The sequence below is a fragment of the Homo sapiens genome, chromosome 7 (assembly GCF_000001405.40).
Source record: "Homo sapiens chromosome 7, GRCh38.p14 Primary Assembly".
In the NCBI taxonomy this organism is placed as follows: Eukaryota; Metazoa; Chordata; class Mammalia; order Primates; family Hominidae; genus Homo; species Homo sapiens.
This window is the reverse complement of record NC_000007.14, coordinates 98,404,418-98,425,652: the sequence shown is the minus strand read 5'-3', so window position 1 is coordinate 98,425,652 and position 21,235 is coordinate 98,404,418. Positions and strand designations below refer to the sequence as shown.

Sequence of the window (21,235 nt, the reverse complement as noted above, 5' to 3'; positions counted from 1 at the left end):
TGACCAGGCTGGTCTCGAACTCCTGACCTCGTGATCCGCCCAGCTCAGCCTCCCAAAGTGCTGGGATTACAGGCATGAGCCACCGTGCCTGGCCCCTAGCTGTAATTTTTAAACAAATTTAACAAATCTCTCTCTTTCCCCTACCCTTCCCAGACTCGAGTATTCTCTCTTCTACTTTCTACTTCTACAAGATCAACTTTTTTTAGCTTTCAGAGTGAGAACATGCGGTGTTTAACTTTCTGTTCCTGGCTTATAGAGAAGAGTGTTTTAAGACATTAAACTGTTGATACCATCTTTCCATCAACAACTCCCAAATTTATATTCTCCTGACTCCAGACTCATACATCCAACAGCCACCCACATGCCTCCACTTGGGGTCCAATAGACATTTTAAACTCAACACGGCCAAAACCAACTCTGATCTTCCCCCCATGAAACCCACTCCATCTGTAACCTCCCCCACGCTTCAGTTGACAGCAATTTCATCCTTCTTGGAAGGATGGGGCCAAAAGCCTTGAATCTCTCCCATCCTTCATTGAATCTATCATGAAATAGTATTGGTTCTATCTTGAAATTATAAGGCCAGGTGTGGTAGCTCAAGCGTATAATTCCAGTGCTTTGGGAGGCTAAGGTGGGAGGATCCCTTGAGGCCAGGATTTTGAGACCAGCCTGGGCAACATAGTGAGACTCCCCTCTCATCTCTACAAGAAAATTTAGAAATTAGCCAGGCATGGTGGCGTGTGCCTGTGGTCCCAGCTACTGGGGAGGCTGAAGTGGGAGGATCGCTTGAGCCAAGGAGGTCGAGACTGCAGTGAGCTGTGATTGCCCCACCTGCACTCCAGCCTGGGTGACAGGGAGAGACCCTGCCTTGGAAATAAACAAATGAAATAAACAAAATAAAATATCCAGGATCTGTCCACCTGGACACTTGTCCCCACCTCTGCTGTCACTGCCCAGTGTGAGCCACAGATTGCTGTCTCCTGAAATATACAAGTGCCCCCCAACTTCCATCCTTCCATCCTGCCCCACCCCTGCATGCTGTCTATCTCTCCCCAGATGTCAGAGAGATCCTTTACAAACATAAATCATATGTCAGGCTAGGCGCAGTGGCTCACACCTGTAATCCCAGCACTTTGGGAGGCCGAGGCGGGTGCATCACCTGAGGTCGGGAGTTCAAGAGCAGCCTGACCAACACGGAGAAACCCCATCTCTACTAAAAATATAAAATTAGCCGGTCATGGTGGCGCATGCCTGTAATCCCAGCTACTTGGGAGGCTGAAGCAGGAGAATGGCTTGAACCCGGGAGGAGAAGGTTGCAGTGAGCCAAGATCATGCCATTGTACTCCAGCCTGGGCAAAAAAAGCGAAACTCTGTCTCAGGATGAATAAATAAATAAATCATATCATGTCATGTTTGGGTTCCAATCCCTACCATGGTTCCCAAGTTCACGCCGAAAACATGGTGACATCCTCCCGTGGCCATGAGGCTCCACATGACCTGGCCCCTCTTATTTCTCTGACCTCACTTCTCACCTGGTTCACCCACCACCCGCTTGATCTTCCTGGAATACATCAGACACACCTCCAACCTTTGGTGTATCCCTGGCTGCTCCCCTGCCTGGGACCCCCTTCACGCCAGGTACCTGCACAGCTTACTGCCTTCTTCCTTTTCAAATATTACTTTCTCAAAGAAGCCCACCTTGATCACATCTTCACCATTCCATCTTCCTTCCCCTCCACCCTTTCCGTCCCTTTTTTTTTTTTTTTTGAGACAGGGTCTTGCTCTGTTGCCCAGGCTGGAGTGCAGTGGCTCAAACACAGCTTACTGCAGCCTCAGCCTTCCTGGCTCAAGCCGTCCTCCTACCTCAGGCTCCTGAGTAGCTGGGACCACAGGTGCACACCACCATGCCCGGTTATTTTTGGGTTTTGTTAGAGATGGGGCCTTGCTATGTTGTCCAGGCTGGTCTTGAATTCCTGAGCTCAAGCAATCCTCCTGCCTCAGCCTCCCAAAGTGCTGGGATTACAGGCATGAGCCACCACACCTAGTCCCCAGCAATACCATTGATCCTGCTCAACATTTTCTTTTCTCCATTGCTCTAATCTCCTAGCAATCTATAAAATTCTATGATCTTCTTATTGTTGCATCAGTCAGAACAGGCCAGGTTATACTGCTGTAACATACACTGCAAACCCCAAAATCTCAGTGATGTAAAAAAATGTTTATTTCTCACTCATGCTTCATGACTCAGGGATCTATACTGATTAAACAGACTTCATTTTAAATATTTCCAGTTCTCATGCCTGGGGCAGAGGGAAAGCTCTAGGGGGCCTCTCACCAGCAATTAAACGCTCAGCCCTGAAGTATGGCATCACCACTCCTCACAATTCATTGGCCAGAACTGGTCACATGATTTCAGCCAACCATAAGAGAAGCAGGAAGTAAAATTGTACCATGACTGGGCTCCATGGCTCAAGCCTGTAATCCCAGAATTTTGGGAGGCCAAGGTAGGAGGATCGCTTGGGCTCAGGAATTCAAGACTAGCCTGAGCAACATAGCAAGGCCTCACCACTACTTAAAAAAAAAAAAAAAAAAAGAAAAGAAAATTTAAAAATTTGTGGGTTTTTTTGTTTGGTGTTTTTTTTTGTTGTTGTTTGCAGTTTTTTTGTTTGTTTGTTTGTTTTTTGTTTTTTTAGGTGGAGTCTCGCTGCAGTGCCCAGGCTGGAGTGCAATGGCACAATCTTGGCTCACTGCAACCTCCGCTTCCCAGGTTCAAGTGATCCTCCTGCCTAAGCCTCCCAAGTAGCTGGGACTAAAGGTCCATGCCCAGCTATTTTTTTGTGTGTTTTTAGTCTACCATATTGACCAGGCTAGTCTCGAACTCCTGACCTCAGGTGGCCCACCTGCCTTGGCCTCCCAAAGTGCTGGGATTACAGGCATGAGCTGAGCCACCATGCCCAGCCAAAAAAAATTTTCTACTAATTAAAGAAAAATTAAAAATCCTACCATGTACCAAGAAGGGGGAGTATTTGAAATATTTAGAGAACAGCACTAATGACTACTACAGTTTGTCCATTTTTATCACTTGTCTTCCCCCTTTAAAAGGTAAACTACACAAAAGCAAGTATCCCCAGCACCTAGAACAGTGCCTAGCACATAGGAGGTGCTCAGTAAATATTTTTTTTAGTAAGTGGATGGATTACATTATTATATTCACATCTGGAATTGAAAGTTAAGAGCTAATGTAAACTCCTTTTTTTTTTCTTTTTGAGACAAGGTCTCGCTCTGTCACCCAGGTTGGAGTGTAGTGGTGTGATCATGGCTCACTGCAACCTCAGCCTCTTGGGCTCAGTGGATCCTCCCACCTCAGCCTCCTGAGTAGCTGGGACTACAGGCACGCACCACCACACCTGGCTAATTTTGGGTGGGGGGCGGGGCGGGGGTTGTTAGAGACAGGGTCTTGCTATGTTGCCCAGGCTGATCTCAATCTGCTGGGTTCAAGCGATCCTCCTGCCTTAGCTTCCCAAAGTGCTGGGATTACAGGCGTGAGCCACTGCCTCTGGCCAAAGCCCAATTAAACATATACACTGCAAACATGAAGGACATGTTCTTAATCTATTCCTGTGGTGTTCTTGAAGCCCATGAAATTGATTTCAAAAAAATTTTTAAGAAGGGGTCTTGTAACGTTCACCAGGCTCTCAAAGATACCTCTAAAACAGATCAGAAACAAGTGATCCACTTTGGGAGGCCAAGATGAGTGGATCACTTGAGGCCAGAAGTTCAAGACCAGCCTGGCCAACGTGGTGAAACCTTGTCTCTACTAAAAATACAAAAATTAGCTGGGTGTGGTGGCTCATGCCTGCAGTCTCAGCACTTTGGGAGGCCATGGCGGGAGGCTCAGTTGAGGCCAGGAGCTCAAGACCATCCTGGCCAACATGGTGAAACCCCATCTCTATTAAAAATACAAAAATTCGCCGGGGTTGGTGGTGCACGCCTGTAATCCCAGTACTTGAGAGACTGAGGCACGAGAATCGTTTGAACCGGGAGGCGGAGGCTGCAGCGAGCCGAGATCGTGCCCCTGCACTCCAGCAACAGAGATCCTGTCTGGAAAAAAAAAAAAGTGTTTAATTAGTTGGGTATGATGATGCACACCTATGATCCCACCTACTCGAGAGGCCGAGGTGGGAGGATTGCTTGAGCCCAGGAGGATGAGGCCGTAGTGAGTTGTGATTGCGTTACAGTACCCTAGCCTCGGAAACAGGGTGAGACTCTGTCTCAGAAAAAAAAAAAAAAGATAACAGTTGAGTCATTTCACCTGTTCGTGCCTCAGTCTCCTCGTCTATGCAGCAGACCTGGGGCGGGGATCAGCTAACAGGTGCTGGCTATACCGGCAGGTGATTCCCGAAAGCTGGACCCACTCAGGGAAGGTGCGACGCGCTTACCTGTGCAGCCAGCGCGCCATCTAGTGGACGCAGTGGGCAGTCAGCGCAGCTCCCCACACACCTGCCCCTCCTGACTCCCAGGCTACCGCTAGGGCTCAGGAAGGTTTGACGGACTCCAGTTCTATGAAACCGTAGCGCAAGGCAGGCCCCTTAGCCTTCCCTGCAGGGGAGAGTGGAACTCCAGGGCTGCTGCCTGTCACGATCCTCTCCTTTCGTCCATCCACAACTCTGATATAGCACACTCAGGAAGAATAAGACTGGACAGGTGTGGAGAGGGAGAAATTGACTTAGCACACTATTTATTTATTTATTTTGAGACAGTGTTCGAGATCAGCCTGGGCAATATGATGAAACCCTGTTTCTACTAAAAATACAAAGATTAGCCGGGCGTGGTGGTGCACACCTGTAATCCCAGCTACTCAGGAGACTGAGGCAGGAGAATCGCTTTAACCTGGGAGGCAGAGGTGGCAGTGAGCCGAGATCACACCATTGCATTCCAGCCTGGGTTACAGAGTGAGACTCCATCTCAATAAATAAATAAATAAATAAAATTATATATATACACATATACACATATATACATATATACATATATATACATATATATATACACATATATACATATATACATATATATATACACATATATATAGAAAGAGAGAGAGAGAGAGAATAAAATGTACAATTCAGCCAGGTAAGGTGGCTCACGCCTGTAATCCCAGCACATTGGGAGACCAAGGCAGAAGGATTGCTTGAGTCAAGGCATTTGAGACCAGCTTGGGCAACACAGTGAGACCTCATGTCTACAAAGAATCAAAAAATTAGCCAGGCACAGTAGTGTGCACCTGTGGTCCTAGGTACTAGAGAGGCTGAGGTGAGAGGATCGCTTGAACCTAGGAGTTTAAGACCAGCCTGGGCAACATAGCAAGACCTCAGATTTGCAAAATATTTTTAAAATGAGCTGGGCACAGTGCTGCACACTTGTGGTCCCAGCTACTCTGGAGGCTGAGGCAGGAGGATCACTTGAGCCCAGGAGGTTGAGGTTGCAGTGAGCTATGATCACACCGCTGCACTCCAACCTGGGCGACAGAGTGAGACTCTGTCTCAAAAAATAAATAAACAGATAGATAAGTAAATCAGTAAAATAAAATGTACAATTCAGGGAGATCCAGTACATTCACAATGTTGTACAATCCTCACCTCTGACTAGTTCAAAACCTTTTCACCACCCTAGAAGGAAATCCCATCACCTCTCTTGTTGTATAACCAAGAGTTACATGACCCCGAAGAAAATGACAAAATCCAGGCCCCATGGGGGCCCTGGGTTTACATGGGGGAGACTGGTTTCAGTTTGCTATCCAGCGAGGGAGGCAGGCACAGGGCTAGGGGTTGAATGAGCTCTCCGGGGCTAAAAAGCCGCCCCTACCTTCCCCGGGTAGGGTATGTCTATTTTTTTTTTTTTTTTTATGAGACAGAGTTTCACTCTTGTCGCCCAGGCTGGAGTACAGTGGTGCGATCCTGGCTCACTGCAACCTCCGCCTCCTGGGTTCAAGAGATTCTCCTGCCTCAGCCTCCTGAGTAGCTGGGATTACAGGCATGTACCACCCACACCTGGCTAATTTTTATGTTTTTAGTAGAGATGGAGTTTCACCATGTTAGCCAGGCTGGTTTCGAATGCCTGACCTCAAGTGATCCACTCGCCTCGGCCTCCCAGAGTGTGGGATTACAGGTGTGAGCCACCACGCCTGGCCAGTAGGATATGTCTTTTAGCTGAGACATACAGTAATAGGAGGCAGAGTATTTATTAGAAGATCCTCTGGTTGGATTATAAAAGTTAGAGACATGGAGGAGATAAGAACACAACCTCAAAGTAAGGGCAACCTTTCCCTACAGTAGCCAAGGACACACCTTCCTCCGCTACAGAACAATCCCCAGCGATTTTCTCACCCTGAGATTCTCCGGTCCCTCCACAAACATGTCATCATAGGAAGTTAATACCTATGATCCTGGTGTCCTTCACCTTTTCCACAAAGCCCAGCCTGGGTGGTGGAGTTTATCTCCAAGACAAACAGAGCTGCCCCTGTGTCTATGACTGCTTGTATTTGCTGATGACGTCACATCCGTCCTGGGCTGCCTGATCCAAGTGACTCAAGGGTGAGTCTCTGGTCATAGTGAGTCATGCCTCAACCCACCCTGGCAGACAAGGACGTGGCTCCAGGGGAGACCTGGTCCTCAGAGAGCTAAGCTAGGGTGAAACCCTACAGAGGAGGTGTGGCTGCTGATATAAAGGCTGCTGATGAAGGGACATCTCAGATCCCCAGACCCATACCCAGTACCCTGCAGGCTCTGTCTATACCATGTGGGTAAAACTCACAGTGTCTCATTCCCATTTTGCCAATAAGCAGGGGGAAAGGCTCAATGTGGAGAAACATCTTACCAGGACACACAGCAAGAAAGTGACAGCAGGGTTTGCTTACCGTCTGGTAGCAGAGGCAGCAAAATCAGACCAACAGCAATAATTTCAAAAGACCAGTGGAGGAAGGGTGTTCCATGGGAGAGGTGGGCAAAGCCAGCTTGTAAAGCATCGATCAGAACACTGAGGTTTCGGAAGTGTGAGTCCAGATTCCAGCAGCCTGACCCGGGATTCCTCCGAAGCAACGATCTCCAAATGGTAGCCTGGGAGCTTGGGTGGCCTGTGGGGTTTCTTCCAAGCTTCCCTGGTCACCTAGCCTATCTGTGACTCAGGCATTTCTCTACCATTGTGAGGCAGAGAAATGGGCCAGCAGAAATAAATCAAAGTCAGGGGTGGTGGCATGCAGCTGTGGTTCCAGCTACTCAGGAGGATCGCTTGAGCCCAGGAGTTCAAAGCCGCTGGGAGTTATGATGGTGCCATAGTACTCCAGCCTGGGCAACAGAGTAAGACTGCATGTATCATAAAATAAAATAAAATAATTAAATAAATTAAATAGTAAGAAAATTCATTCAAGAAAGTTTACTCTGCTGGCTGGGAGCGGTGGTGCATGCCTATAATCCCAGCACTTTGGGAGGCCAAGGTGGGCGGATCACCCGAGGTCAAGAGTTCGAGACCAGACTGGCCAATATGGTGAAACCCCGTCTCTACTAAAAATACAGAAAAATTAGCTGGGTGTGGAGGCAGGCGCCTGTAATCCCAGCTACTTAGGAGGCTGAGGCAGGAGAATCGCTTGAACCCAGGAGGCGGAGGTTGCAGAGAGCCAAAATCATGCCACTGCACTCCAGCCTGTGTGACAGAGTGAGACTCTGTCTCAAAAATAAAAAAAGAAAGAAAGTTCACTCTGTTTAAAAAAAAAAAAAGGTAGCTAAACTTGAAATGCATTTGCATGGTAGTTGCACAACCTTTGAGGGGGTGTGGAAATTACACGTGACTTGACCAACCAGACTGAATGTGGGGGGTGAAAGACCAGGCCAGAAAACTTCAGCATGAGCTGCAATTTCTGTTGACAGCAGAGATCAAAGGCAGCCTTGAAGGGGAAGGAGGGGACAGCCGATGCAGGCAGTGACTTTCCCTCGACCTCCACTCAGGCAGCCCTGGCTGCTACTCCGACTCACCTGAAGTCACACCTGGTAGGTGGCAGCCACATCTTTGGGGAAATGCCCCCAAGGAAAACCGTGGCCTCTCACCACTCCCACAAGGTCATCTGGAGCACTGCTCCCTCCAACTCCTATTGACCAGGACAGAGGGAGCTGGGGACATGACCGTGATGTGACTTACTCCAAGTCACAGGGGATGTTATCACTGAGACATGAAGTGAATTCCCCAGACCTACTGTTTTCCCACCAGGATGAGGACACTGTCTTTGCATTTCTGTCCCGTTTCAAGGAGTCCTCAGGAACCGAGGCCACAGCCTCCAGCTGCTCAGAATTGGGAAGGGGGTTTCCTGTTGTAGCCAATGTCAGGCTTATCAGGGCCTGGAAACATCTCCAGGCAAAAATATGACCTCTTTGTCCTAGCTGCTGTGCCTATGAGGAGGAAGAATCCATTGATTCTAGACTCAGGAGTCTATTCAACAAGCAAACAGCAGTCAGAGCTGAGGGGAAAATGCACACGCCCACATATTTCACCTGTTAGTGTCAATATCCAAATGTTTCAAAACCAAATAAGATCTAAATGACTTTCTGGCCGGGCGCAGTGGCTCACGCCTGTAATCCCAGCACTTTGGGAGGCTGAGGCGGGCGGATCACGAGGTCAGGAGATCGAGACCATCCGGGCTAACACAGTGAAACCCCGTCTCTACTAAAAATACACACAAAAAAATTAGCTGGGTGTGGTGGCGGGCGCCTGTAGTCCCAGCTACTCCAGAGGCTGAGGCAGGAGAATGGCGTGAACCCGGGAGGCGGAGCTTGCAGTGAGCCGAGATCGTGCCACTGCACTCCAGCCTGGGCAACAGAGCGAGACTCTGTCTCAAAAAAAAAAAAAAAGATCTAAATGACTTTCTGTCATTTTGCCATGAGTAAACAGCCAAAATCTCAGCTCCTTTTGTGTTCAGAAGAAAGCCTTTGCTAGAAGAAAAAGAATCTTGGCCAGGGACAGTGGCTTACGTCTGTATTCTCAGCACTATGGGAGGCCAAGGTGGGAGGATCGCTGGAGTTCAAGACCAGCATGGCCAACATAGTGAAACCCCGTCTCTACTAAAAATACAAAAATTACCCAGGCATGGTGGCACGCGCCTGTAATCCCAGCTACTCGGGAGGCTGAGGCAAGAGAATTGCTTGAACACGGGAGGTGGAGATTGTGGTGAGCTAAGATCACATTACTGCACTCCAGCCTGGGCGACAGAGTGAGACTGTGTCTCAAAAAAATATATACATATATATTTTACATATAAAAAATATATACATATACACATATATATACACACACACACATATATATATGACCAACTCTTGATGTCAGAAAAATATATTATTATTATGCATTTATGTATTTTGAGACAAAGTCTTGCTCTGTTGCCCAGGCTGGAGTGCAGTGGTGGGATCCTGGCTTACTGCAGCCTCAACCTCCTGGGCTCAGTGAATCCTCCCACCTCAGCCTCCCAAGTAGCTGGGACTACAGGCATGTGCTACCCCATCTAGCTAATTTTTGTAGAGACAGGCTTTCACTGTGTTGCCCAGGCTGGTCTTAAACTCCTAGGCTTAAGCAATCCACCCTCCTCGGCCTCCCAAAGTGCTGGGATTACAGGCATGAGCTACCACAACAGGTTAAGAATTTTTTGAAAAAGAGAAATGATCTAAGAATTATTTGCTCCATTGCAAGCCCAAAGATAATCATCATTTTAGCTGATAATAATGCATGAATACTATTCAAGGATTTCTGAGGATATTGTCAATGTTATTTTGTGGGAAGTCTTGCAGTAACAGTGACTCAAAAGCAAAGTGATTTCTCTAGACAAGGTTCCTATTTTCCAACCTTGAAAAATGATTCTGAAATTTATTTCTTAGAAGAGTGGGTGTAAAATGATGTTCTTTGATTACGTTGAAACGAAAGTGCTTTTGGAAAGTGGCCTAAGGACATAAATTCACAGACAATAGGTTTTTCAAGAGCACCCCAATTTTAATAACATTTCCCTCCTTTGGTCTCCATAATCATACTGGAATTTGGCAGCCCGTGATCTTTCATTTTATCTCAAAATATGGTCATCCCCAAAATGAAAAAATTTAAATGTATGAAAAGTCTCAGGAGAACATTTCTCACCATTTGAATTTTTTTCACTTGAAGATTTGTTCTGTGTGTATATGTTGAATTCAACACAATGGCAAATTCTCCCAGGTTTTAAGAACAGTATAGGTCATTTGGGAATGTTTTAGATGAAAGGAACAGAAAACTCCATGCTCACAGATGCTGTGAGAGGCTCAGGATGTGTCTCTCCACTCGGCCAATCTCAACTTGATGATGCTTGGTCTTGTTTGTTGCTCAGAGCAGCTTACAAGATGTTGGTTACTTCTTGCATGATATCATCATATCTGCTTACTCGCCCTCCTCTCTCTCCCCCTCCCTCTCCTTCATTCCTTCATTCCTTCCTCTCCTTTCTTTCTTTCCTTTTTTTTTTTTTTCGAGACAGAGACAGAGTCTCACTCTGTTGCCAGGCTGGAGTGCAATGGCGTGATTTCGGCTCATTGCAACCTCTGCCTCCCAGGTTCAAACGATTCTCCTGCCTCAGCCTCCCAAGTAGCTGGGATTACAGGCACACACCACCACACCCAGCTAATTTTTGTATTTTTAGTAGAGACGGGGTTGGCCAGGATGGTCTTGATCTCTTGACCTCGTGATCCGCCCACCTCGGCCTCCCAAAGTGCTGAGATTACAGGCCTGAGCCACTGTGCCCAGGCTTTCTTTCTTTTTCTTTCCTTTCATTCCCTCTCCTTCCTTCCTTTTTTCTCTCTCCCTTCCTCCCTCCCTCCCTTCCTTCATTCCTTCCTCGCTTTTCTTCCTTTTCTTTCTTTCCTTTCTTTCTCTCTTTCTTCCTTGCTTCTTCTTTCCCTTCCTTCCTCCCTTTCCTTTCCTTTCCCTTCCCTTCCCTTCTCTTTTCTTCCTTCCTTCCTTCCTCTCTCTCTCTTTCTCTCTTTCTTTCTTTCTGACATAGTCTCGTTCTGTTGCCCAGGATGCAGTACAGCAGCACAATCACAGCTCACTGCAGCCTCGAACTCCTGAACTCAAGCAATCTTCCTGCCTCATCTTTCCAAGTAGCTGTGACTACAGGTGCTTGCCACCACACCTGCCTATTTTTTTTTCTTTGTAGAGATGGGGTCTTGCTATGTTGCCCAGGCTGGTCTCAGACTCCTGGGCTCAAGCGATCCTCCTGCCTCAGCCTCCCAAAGCATAGGGATTGCAGGCGTGAACCCCTGCACCCAGCCCACATGTGCTTTCTAGGAAGTTATGAGGAGGGCAAAAAAAAACAAAGACTTCCTGAAAAAAAAAAAGAGAGAAAGAAAGAGAGAGAGGAAGGAAGGAAGGAAGGAAGGAAGGAAGGAAGGAAGGAAGGAAAAGCCTTCCAGAACCTCCACTATTTCACTTTTCAGCCTTCTCAGTAGACCTTTGTCTCCTTGTCTCCTTCGTTTCCTTTGTCTCTGGCCAGAATGTGTCTGTTTTGCTGCTCCTGCCTGCAAGGAAACCAGAAAACCAGGGTTCTATCTCTCTGCCCCCTGTTGTAGAAAAAAGGGGCAGAGGCCGGGCACAGTGGCTCATGCCTGTAATCCCAGCGCTTTGGGAGGCTGAGGCAGGTGGATCACCTGAGGTCAGGAGTTCAAGACCAGCCTGGCCAACATGGTGAAACCCTGTCTCTACTAAATTAACAAAAATTAGCTGGACCTGTTGGTGGCGCCTGTAGTCCCAGCTACATGGGAGGCTGAGGCAGAAGAACCACTTGAATCCAGGAAGCAGAGGTTGCAGTGAGCCAAGATCGCACCATTGCACTCCAGCCTTGCGACAGAGCAAGACTCCAACTCAAAAAAAAAAAAGTAAAAAGTGTCTGCCCCTATCTGCCTGCATATTGCCTTACCAACGCTAGAGCAAATATAGATTTTAAAATCTCTAAATACAATAACTAATGCATATAATGCATCCTTTTAGTTGGTGAGGGCGTCTTAGTGATGAGTATTAAAATAGAAAAGCTCTTTCCACCATGAATTTGCGACTCCTTTTTCTGGGCCCACAGTACTTCCTGACATTATGGCCAAATTCATGCTAAAACTTTTATAGTGATCAGATACTGACGGGACATCACAATGGGCTTAATTGGCGAAGCCTGCCTTTCGTACTCAGCAAAATTTCCATTGATTCTTAAGCATTCCTGCACTTCTTGGTCAATGTCAATATGCTGGGGACATAGTTACAGAAATGCGTAAATTACCACTCAAGGTTTTGCTTAATAATTTATCATTGTGTACATTTGTCTAATGGAAATTTTTGTTTTATGCTGAATTCCAAGATCCACAAGGCTAATACGTCCCCTTTTCGTGAAACGGTTGCATTCTCTCCTTGTTCACAGTACTCATTGATTTGGGAAAATTCCAAGCCAGAGATGAGGCACAATGATGAATACAGTGAAAAGTGGCAGAAGTCCTGGGCTGTTGTGGAAATAAAGTTGCTATAAACGTCAATAAGAGGCCAGTGTGGTGAGGTGGTACCTGGCCATCTGAACAGAGCCACAGGTGTGTAGTCAGGTGGGATGCAGACAAAAAGGACCATCAGAGGCAACCTTGTGTCACCAAACTTTGCTCTCCCTGAAAGAGAAAGTGTTAAAAGACAAGTAGAGGCTGGTGTGGTGGCTCATGCCTGTAATCCCAGCACTTTGGGAGCCCAAGGCAGGTGGATCACCTGAGGTCAGGAGTTCAAGACCAGCCTGGCCAACATGGTTGTGAAACCCTGTGTCTTTATTAAAAATACAAAAAAAAAAAGGCTGGGTGCAGTGGCTTACGCCTGTAATTCCACCAATTTGGGAGCCCAAGGCGGGTGGATCAGGAGGTCAGGAGATTGAGATCATCCTGGCTAACACGGTGAAACCCCGTCTCTACTAAAAATACAAAAACAAAATTAGCCGGGTGTGGTGGCGGGCACCTATAGTCCCAACTACTCGGGAGGCTGAGGCAGGAGAATGGCGTGAACCCGGGATGGGGAGCTTGCAGTGAGCCGAGATCATGCCACCACACTCCAGCCTGGGAGACACAGCGAGACTCCATCTCAAAAAATAAAATAAAATAAAGTAAAATAAAATAAAATAAAAAATTAGATGGGCATCGTGGCATATGCCTGTAGTCCCAGCTACTTGGGAAGCTGAGGCAGGAGAATTGCTTGAACTTGGGAGGTGGAGTTTGTAGTGAGCCAACATTGTGCCACTGCACTCCAGCTTGGTTGACAGAACAAGACTCTGTCTCAAAAAAAAAAAAAAAAAAAAAAGACAAGTAGGCCTCATGGAAAAGAATATTCCATTATATTCCATCCTCTTGGCATCCCCTGCTGTCCCCTTTGGGGAACTGCTTAGCAGTCCAGGTGTTTTTCTTACCTTATTTATTTATTTTTTTTTGAGACGGAGTCTCACTCCGTCACGCAGGCTGGAGTCAGTGGCGTGATCTCAGCTCACTGCAACCTAAGCCTCCTGGGTTCAAGCAATTCTTCTGTCTCAGCCTCCCGAGTAGCTGGGACTACAGGCGCCCACCACCATGCCCGGCTAATTTTTGTATTTTTAGCAGAGATGGGGTTTCACTATATTGGTCAGGCTGGTCTCGAACTCCTGACCTCAGGTCACCCGCCCACCTCAGCCTTCCAAAGTGCTGGGATTACAGGCGTGAGCCACCGCGTCTGGCCCCCACAATTACTTTTGCACTAACCTTTTGGTTCCATAGATTTCTGTAACAGTACTTCCAAGTCTTGCCTCTCAGAAAAAGCCCCAAGTGAAGGGAAAATTGTTCCAGAACTGACTGCATTTGTTGATCAAGGAAAAATACTGGGCATGCCTGCAAGGATTTAAGTCTTACTAAGAGGACATTAGGAACAGTTGTCAATATTTGGAGTTTGGTCAATACATAAAACAAATTTGCTTAGGAAAGGAAAGTCTGGAACTTTCTCTGCTAATGTTTTCCTATGGAAAAAAAAAAAAGAAAGAAAGAAAAAATCAAGACAAGGAAAATGAAGGTAAGCCAGGCAGATCAACTTCCACAAATCCGGTTGGGCCATCTCCCCAAGAAGCCGAATCCTCAAGGAGTTTTCAGGACAACAGATCAGCGTCTCTCCCTTTCTGCCCTTGGAAGAGTAAAGAATGTTCAGGTTATCTCAGCCTTAGGCAAATCAATAGCCTCTTCTCACAGAAGCCAACCTGCACCTAGAGAAAGAGATTTCAGAATCAAGGCTGTGGATAGAAGTTTAAAAAAGAATACAGAGAGGCCGGGCATGGTGGCTCACACCTGTAATCCCAGCACTTTGGGAGGCCAAGGTGGGTGGATCACTTGAGGTCAGGAGTTTAAGACCAGGCTGGCCAACATGGTGAAACCCCGTCTGTATTAAAAATCCAAAATATTAGCTGGGCATGGTGGCAAGTGTCTGTAATCCCAGCTACTCGGGAGGCTGAGGCAGGAGAATCGCTTGAACCTGGGAGGCGGAGGTTGCAGTGAGCCAAGATCATATCACTGCACTCCAGCCTGGGCGACAGAGCGAGACTCCATCTTAAAAAAAAAAAAAAAAAAAGAAAAGAAAAGAAAAGAAAATCCTTTTTGGAGCTGGAAGAAATGACTCATGCCTCTAATCCCAGTACATTGGGAGGCTGAGGTAGGAGGGTTGCTTGAGCTCAGGAGTTTGAGACCAGCCTGGGTACCATAGAGAGACTCCGTCTCTACTAAACATCAAGAAAATTATGCAGGTGTGGTGGCATGCACCTGCAGTCCCAGCTACTTGGGAGGCTAAAGTGGGAGGATCGCTTGAGCCTGGGAGATGAAGGCTGCAGTGAGCTATGATTCCACCACTGCGCTCCAGCCTGGGCAATGAATTGAGACCCTGTCTCAAAAAACTTAAAAAAAGAAAATATTTATTGGCATTGGTGGAGGACAAGGGAGCTTGACTTAACTGGGTAGAAAAAAACAATATCCTAAGAGAAATTATCCCACCAAGCCTGTGAGACGGAGCAGGTTCAGAAGCTGAATCTCGTGGTGAACTTCTTGGAGTGCATGGTAGAGACAAATGTAAAACTTTTCTGGAGGAATATTTTACAAATCGGGCCACAAGCGATTCTTATAGAAAAAATGGTTCTTGGCCGGGCACAGTGGCTCACGCCTGTAATCCCAGCACTTTGGGAGGCCGAGGCAAGTGGATCACTTGAGGTCAGAAGTTGGAGACCAGCCTGGCCAACATGGTGAAACCCCATTTCTACTAAAAATACAAAAATCAGCCGGGCATAGTGGCAGGCACCTGTAGTCCCAGCTACTCAGGAGGCTGAGGAAGGAGAATCGCTTGAACCTGGGAGGCAGAGGTTGTAGTGAGCCAAGATTGTGCCACTGCACTCCAGCCTAGGAGACAGAATGAGACTTCCTCTCAAAAAAAAAAAAAGGTTCTTCCCCCCTCCACCCCAAAGATGACCTCATAATAAAAAATTACCGAAACAAATAAGGAAAAACTCCACTGTGATAGGGAACCAGCAGACGCAACAATGGCTGAGTAAGAATAAAAACCAAACCAAACCAAACAAAACAAAGCAAACAAAAGCACACAGAACTATCCTGGTAGAGACTATAAAATAATATTGTATGTGATTAAAGAGATGCAGGAATAGAAGCTATAAGGAAGTAACATTCTGAAAAAGAAATTGAAAGATCTAATCCAGTAAAAAGACTGCAATACTAATTTTTTTTTTTTTTTGAGACAGAGTCTCGCACCTTTGTCTGGGCTGAAGTGCAGTGGCGCGATCTCAGCTCACTGCAACCTCCACCTGCCGGGTTCAAGCAGTTCTCCTGCCTCAGCCTCCCGAGTAGCTGGGACTACAGACACCCACCATCACACCCAGCTAATTTTTGTATTTTTAGTAGAGATGGGGTTTCACTATGTTGGCCAGGCTGATCTTGAACTCCTGACCTCGTGATCTGCCCTCCTCAGCTTTCCAGAGTGCTGGGATTACAGGTGTGAGCCACTGCCCCCAGCTGCATTACTAATTTTTAAACAACCCAAAAGCAAGGCTCAGGCCCACCTGGTGTCACTGGTGAATTCCATCAAACATTTAAATAAAGTAAATACTAATTCTTCATAAACTCTTCCAAGACATAGAAAATGAGAAAAAACAGGTTAGCAGTTCCTAAAAATGTTAAGTATAAAATGATCATGTGATCACTTGTGAACACGTAATCATGTTAAGTATAAAATGATCAGAGACTTTTTTTGCTATATAAGGTGAACTGTATTAGTCCATTTTCACACTGCTAATAAAGAATACCCGAGACTGGGCAATCTACAAAACAAAGAGGTTTCTTGGACTTAACAGTTCCACATGGCTGGGGAGGCCTCACAATCATGGTGGAAGTCAAGGAGGAGCAAACCATATCTTATGTGGATGGCAGCAGGCAAAGAGAGAGCTTGTGCAGAAAAACTCCCATTTTTTATTTGTTTTGTTTTTGTTTTGTTTTGAGACAGACTCTTGCTCTATTGCCCAGGCTAGAGTGTAGTGGCAGCATCTCGGCTCACTGCAACCTCCACCTCCCAGGTTCAAGCGATTCTTTTGCCTCAGCCTCCCTAGTAGCTGGGACTACAGGTACATGCCACCATATCCAGCTAATTTTTGCATTTTTAGTAGAGATGGGGTTTCACCATATTGGCCAGGCTGGTCTCGAACTCCTGACCTTGTGATCCACCCACCTCGGCCTCCCAAAGTGCTGGGATTACAGGTGTGAGCCACCGTGCCCAGGCAAAACTCCCGTTTTTAAGATTATCAGATCTTGTGAGACTCATTTACTATCATGAGAACAGCCCAGGAAAGACCCACCCTTATAATTCAATCACCTCCCACTGGGTTCCTCTCACGACACATGGGAACTGTGGGAATTACAATTCAAGATGAGATTTGGGTGGGGACACAGCCAAACCATATCATGAACATTCACAGGTTCTGAGGATTCGGACTTGGGCATCTTTGGGGATCCCTTATTCAACGTGCCATAGCTAGCGCTAAGCACTATTAGAGTTAACATAGAATGCTGCTGGGTGCGGTGGCTCATGCCTATAATTTCAGCACTTTGGGAGGCCGAGGCAGGAGGATAGCTTGAGGCCAGGAGTTTGAGACCAGCCTGGACAACATAGCAAGATCCTATCTCTAAAACTATTTTTTTAAGTATAGACAAGGTTTCACTATGTGGCCCCGGCAGATCTTTAACTCCTGGGTTCAAGTGACCCTCCCACCTTGACCTCCTAAAGTGCTGAGATTACAGGTGTGAGCCACCACGCACAGCCAAAATTTTTTAAAAAATTAGCCAGGCATGGTAGCGCATGCCTGTAGTCCCAGCTACTCAGGAGGCTGAGGTGAAAGAATCATTTGAGCCCAGGAGTTCGAGGTTGCAGTGAGCTATGATTGCACCACTGCACTCCAGCCTAAGCAACATTGCAAGACCCTGTCTCAAAAAAAATAAAATAATACATTAAAATAAAATAAAGTAGAATGGTATGATAGAGAGGGCCTCAAATACGACTTCAGGTTGAGTGGTCAGGAAAGGCCTCTATGAGGCTGCATCTAAACTGAACTCCAAATGACAGGAAATACCTGGGTTGGGGTAGGGGGGCAGGGAGGAGAACATTCCAGGCAGAAGAAATAGCTAGTGAAAAACTCTAGGAGGCCGGGCGCGGTGGCTCACGCCTGTAATCCCAGCACTTTGGGAGGCTAAGGTGGGCAGATCACGAGGTCAGGAGATCAAGACCATCCTGGCTAACACGGTGAAACCCCGTCTCTACTAAAAATACAAAAAAAATTAGCCGGGTGTGGTGGCGGGCGCCTGTAGTCCCAGCTACTGGGGAGGCTGAGGCAAGAGAATGGCGTGAGCCCGGGAGGCAGAGCTTGCAGTGAGCCGAGATGGTGCCACTGCACTCCAGCCTGAGTGACAGAGCAAGATTCTGTCGCAGAAAAAGAAAAAAAAAAAGAAAAACTCGAGGGCAGAAATGAGCTTGGCATGCAGGAGAACTCAATGCTGTTGAGATTAGAAGAAAAGTACAGAAAAGTCAATGAGTTTTAAATTCACATCTGCCTTTCAGAACAAGAAAACTTAAAGCTCTGGCCGGGCGCGGTGGCTCACACCTGTAATCCCAGCACTTTGTGGGCCGAGATGGGCGGATCACTTGAGGTCAGGAGTTCGAGACCAGCCTGGCCAACATGGTGAAACCCTGTCTCTACTAATAATTCAAAAATCAGCCGGGCATGGTGGCACGTGCCTGTAATTCCAGCTACTCTGAAGGCTGCAGCAGGAGAATGACTTGAACTCGGGAGGCGAGGGTTGCAGTGAGCCGAGATCGGGCCATTGCACTTCCAGCCTGGGTGACAGAGTGACATCCTGTCTCAAAAAAAAAAAAAAGCTGGGTGTGGTGGCTGTAATCCCAGCACTTTGGGGGCCGAGATGGGCAGATCACTTGAGGTCAGGAATTTAAGACCAGCCTGACCAACATGGTGAAACCTCATTTTACTAATAACACACAAATCAGCCAGACGTGGTGGCACATACCTGTAATTCCAGCTACTCTGGAGGCCGAGGCAGGAGAACCCAGGAGGCGGAGGTTGCAGTGAGCCAAGCAAGATCAGGCCACTGCACTCCAGCCTGGGCAACAGAGTGAGACTCTGTCTCAAAAAAAAAAAAAACCCAAACGGGCCAGGCCCGGTGGCTCACGCCTGTAATCCCAGCACTTTGGGAGGCCGAGGCAGGTGGATCACGAGGTCAGGAGTTCAAGACCAGCCTGGCCAACGTGGTGAAACCCCCCGTCTCTATTAAAAGTACAAAAATTAGCCGGGTGTGGTGGCGCGTGCCTATAAGCCCAGCTACTCGGGAGGCTGAGACAGGAGAATCGATTGAACCCGGGAGGTGGAGGTTGCAGTGAGCCGAGATCGCACCACTGCACTCCAGCCTGGGCGACAGAGTAACAAAGGTTAAAGCTCCATCCTGCCTATTAGTATTTTTACAGGAATGTGCCCCAAACTACTGTTATCAGCAGGGACCTCTTTTGTCACAAAATACAGTGAGATCTTCATGGGTTCCCCTTGCTCAAGTACCCACCAGGGCAAAGGAAGCCACTGGCACACCACATAGTAAGTTTGAAAGAAGAGAGAAACCCCAAAAGAAGAACTTGTTTTAACTGTGGACTTCAAAATCTTACTGACGGCCAGGTGTGGTGGCTCATGCCTGTAACCCAAGCACTTCGGGAGGCCAAGGCAGGCGGATCAATTGAGGTCAGCAGTTCGAGACCAGCCTAGCCAACATGGCAAAACCCCGACTCTACTAAAAATTAAAAAAATTAGCCAGGCATGGTAGCGCATGCCTGTAGTCCCAGCTACTTAGGAGGCTGCAGCAGGAGAATCGCTTGAACCCAGGAGGCGGAGGTTGCAGTGAGCCAAGATCGCACCACTGCACTCCAGCCTGGGTGACAGAGTGAGACTCTGTCTCAAAACAAAAACAAAACAAAACAAAACTTATTGACATTGTCATCTGCCATTGTGTCTTACAAACTTTGTTGACATAAACAGGATTTTTTACTCCAATGCCCTATAAGTTACAATAGGGGTTACATCCCAATAAACCCATTGTAAGTTGAAAACATCATTAAGTTGAAAAATGCATGTAATACACCTAACCTCCAAAACATCATAGCTTAGCCTGTCCTACCTTACACATGCTCAGAACACCTACATTAGCCTACAGTAGGCAAAATCATCTGGTACCACAGTGCACTGCACAGTATCGGCTGTTTACCCTCATGATGCCACAGCTGACCTGGGAGCTCACTCCACCTGCCTAACATTGCTAGAAAGCATCCTACTGCCGGGCGCGGTGGCTCACACCTGTAATCCCAGCACTTTGGGAGGCCAAGGCAGGCGGATCCCGATGTCAGGAGCTCAAGACCAGCCTGGCCAATGTGGTGAAACCCCGTCTCTACTAAAAATTCAAAAATTAGCCGGGCGTGGTGGCACGCACCTGTAATCCCAGCTACTCAGGAGGCAGAGACAAAGAATCACTTGAACCTGGGAGGCAAAGTTTGCAGTGAGCAAAGATCACGCCACTGCACTCCAGCTTGGGTGACAAAACGAGACTCTGTCACAAAAAGAAAGAAAGAAAGAAAGAAAGAAAGAAAGAAAGAAAGAAAGAAAGAAAGAAAGAAAGAAAGAAAGCAAGCAAGCAAGCAAGCAAGCATCCTGATGTATATTCCTAGCCCAGGGAAAGATCATAATTCAAAATTCAAAAAAGTACAATTGCCGCTGAATGCATATTACTTTTGCACCATCATAAAGTCAAAACCGTCAAAGGTGAACCATCGTAAATTGGAGATAGTCTCTATTTAAGCTGAAGTAGGAGCTGAAGGAGGAGATCTTGGTTGCCTGTCTCTGGGAAGGCATTGGACTGATTTACAGAGAGGCCAGACCAGCTCTTCTGCAGCTCTTCTATGCAGGAGGAAAGAGACTGCAGGGAGTTCTCAGCAAAACAAGGGCTGCTATTCTCACCTTCTCCTGAGTCATCCCTTCCTATTGATTTGCCTTCTTTATCTCTGAGCATCATGAAGTCTCAGAATAACAGACTGTGGATTTTCAAGTTTAGATGAAACCAGCAAATGTACTTGAAGAGTCTAAAACAAATGGCCTTTTGAGATCACATCCACTTGTCCACCTATGGCATGATTGGCTGTACCTGGATGGCTTTCACTGTAGTCCTCAAATTCTACCTTCTGCACAGGCATGGTTCAAGCCCAGTTCATTCTGCACACTGCAGCCCCCAGCAGACTCCCTGCCTGCACAGCAGATCATCAATACTCATTTGTATTTTGTTCAGCCAAGACCTCCCAGGCATCTATGTGCCAAGCACTGAGCTGAGAACTGCACTACTGTTTGTTTGTTTGTTTGTTTGTTTGTTTGTGACAGAATCTCACTCTGTCGCCCGGGCTGGAGTGCAGTGGCACGATCTCGGCTCACTGCAACCTCCGCCACCCGAGTTCAAGTAATTATCCTGCCTCAGCTTCCCAAGTAGCTGGGACTACAGGCACATACTGCCACGCCCGGCTGATTTTTGTATTTTAGTAGAGACGGGGTTTCACCACGTTGACC

General features: G+C 47.0%; 2 annotated features.

Moving 5' to 3' along the window:
* Positions 6,101 to 7,300: an enhancer, noted in NCBI's record as "P300/CBP strongly-dependent group 1 enhancer chr7:98047665-98048864 (GRCh37/hg19 assembly coordinates)". NCBI's record gives its function as "activates an origin of replication core promoter dependent on BRD2, BRD4, P300/CBP, MED14 and CDK7 cofactors, with strong dependence on P300/CBP, by STARR-seq in HCT116 cells {active_cell/tissue: HCT116}" and the evidence as "EXISTENCE:reporter gene assay evidence [ECO:0000049][PMID:35650434]".
* Positions 6,571 to 6,731: a silencer, noted in NCBI's record as "fragment chr7:98048234-98048394 (GRCh37/hg19 assembly coordinates)". NCBI's record gives its function as "represses an EF-1alpha promoter that drives an FKBP-Casp9 reporter gene in an ReSE screen in K562 erythroleukemia cells {active_cell/tissue: K562}" and the evidence as "EXISTENCE:reporter gene assay evidence [ECO:0000049][PMID:32094911]".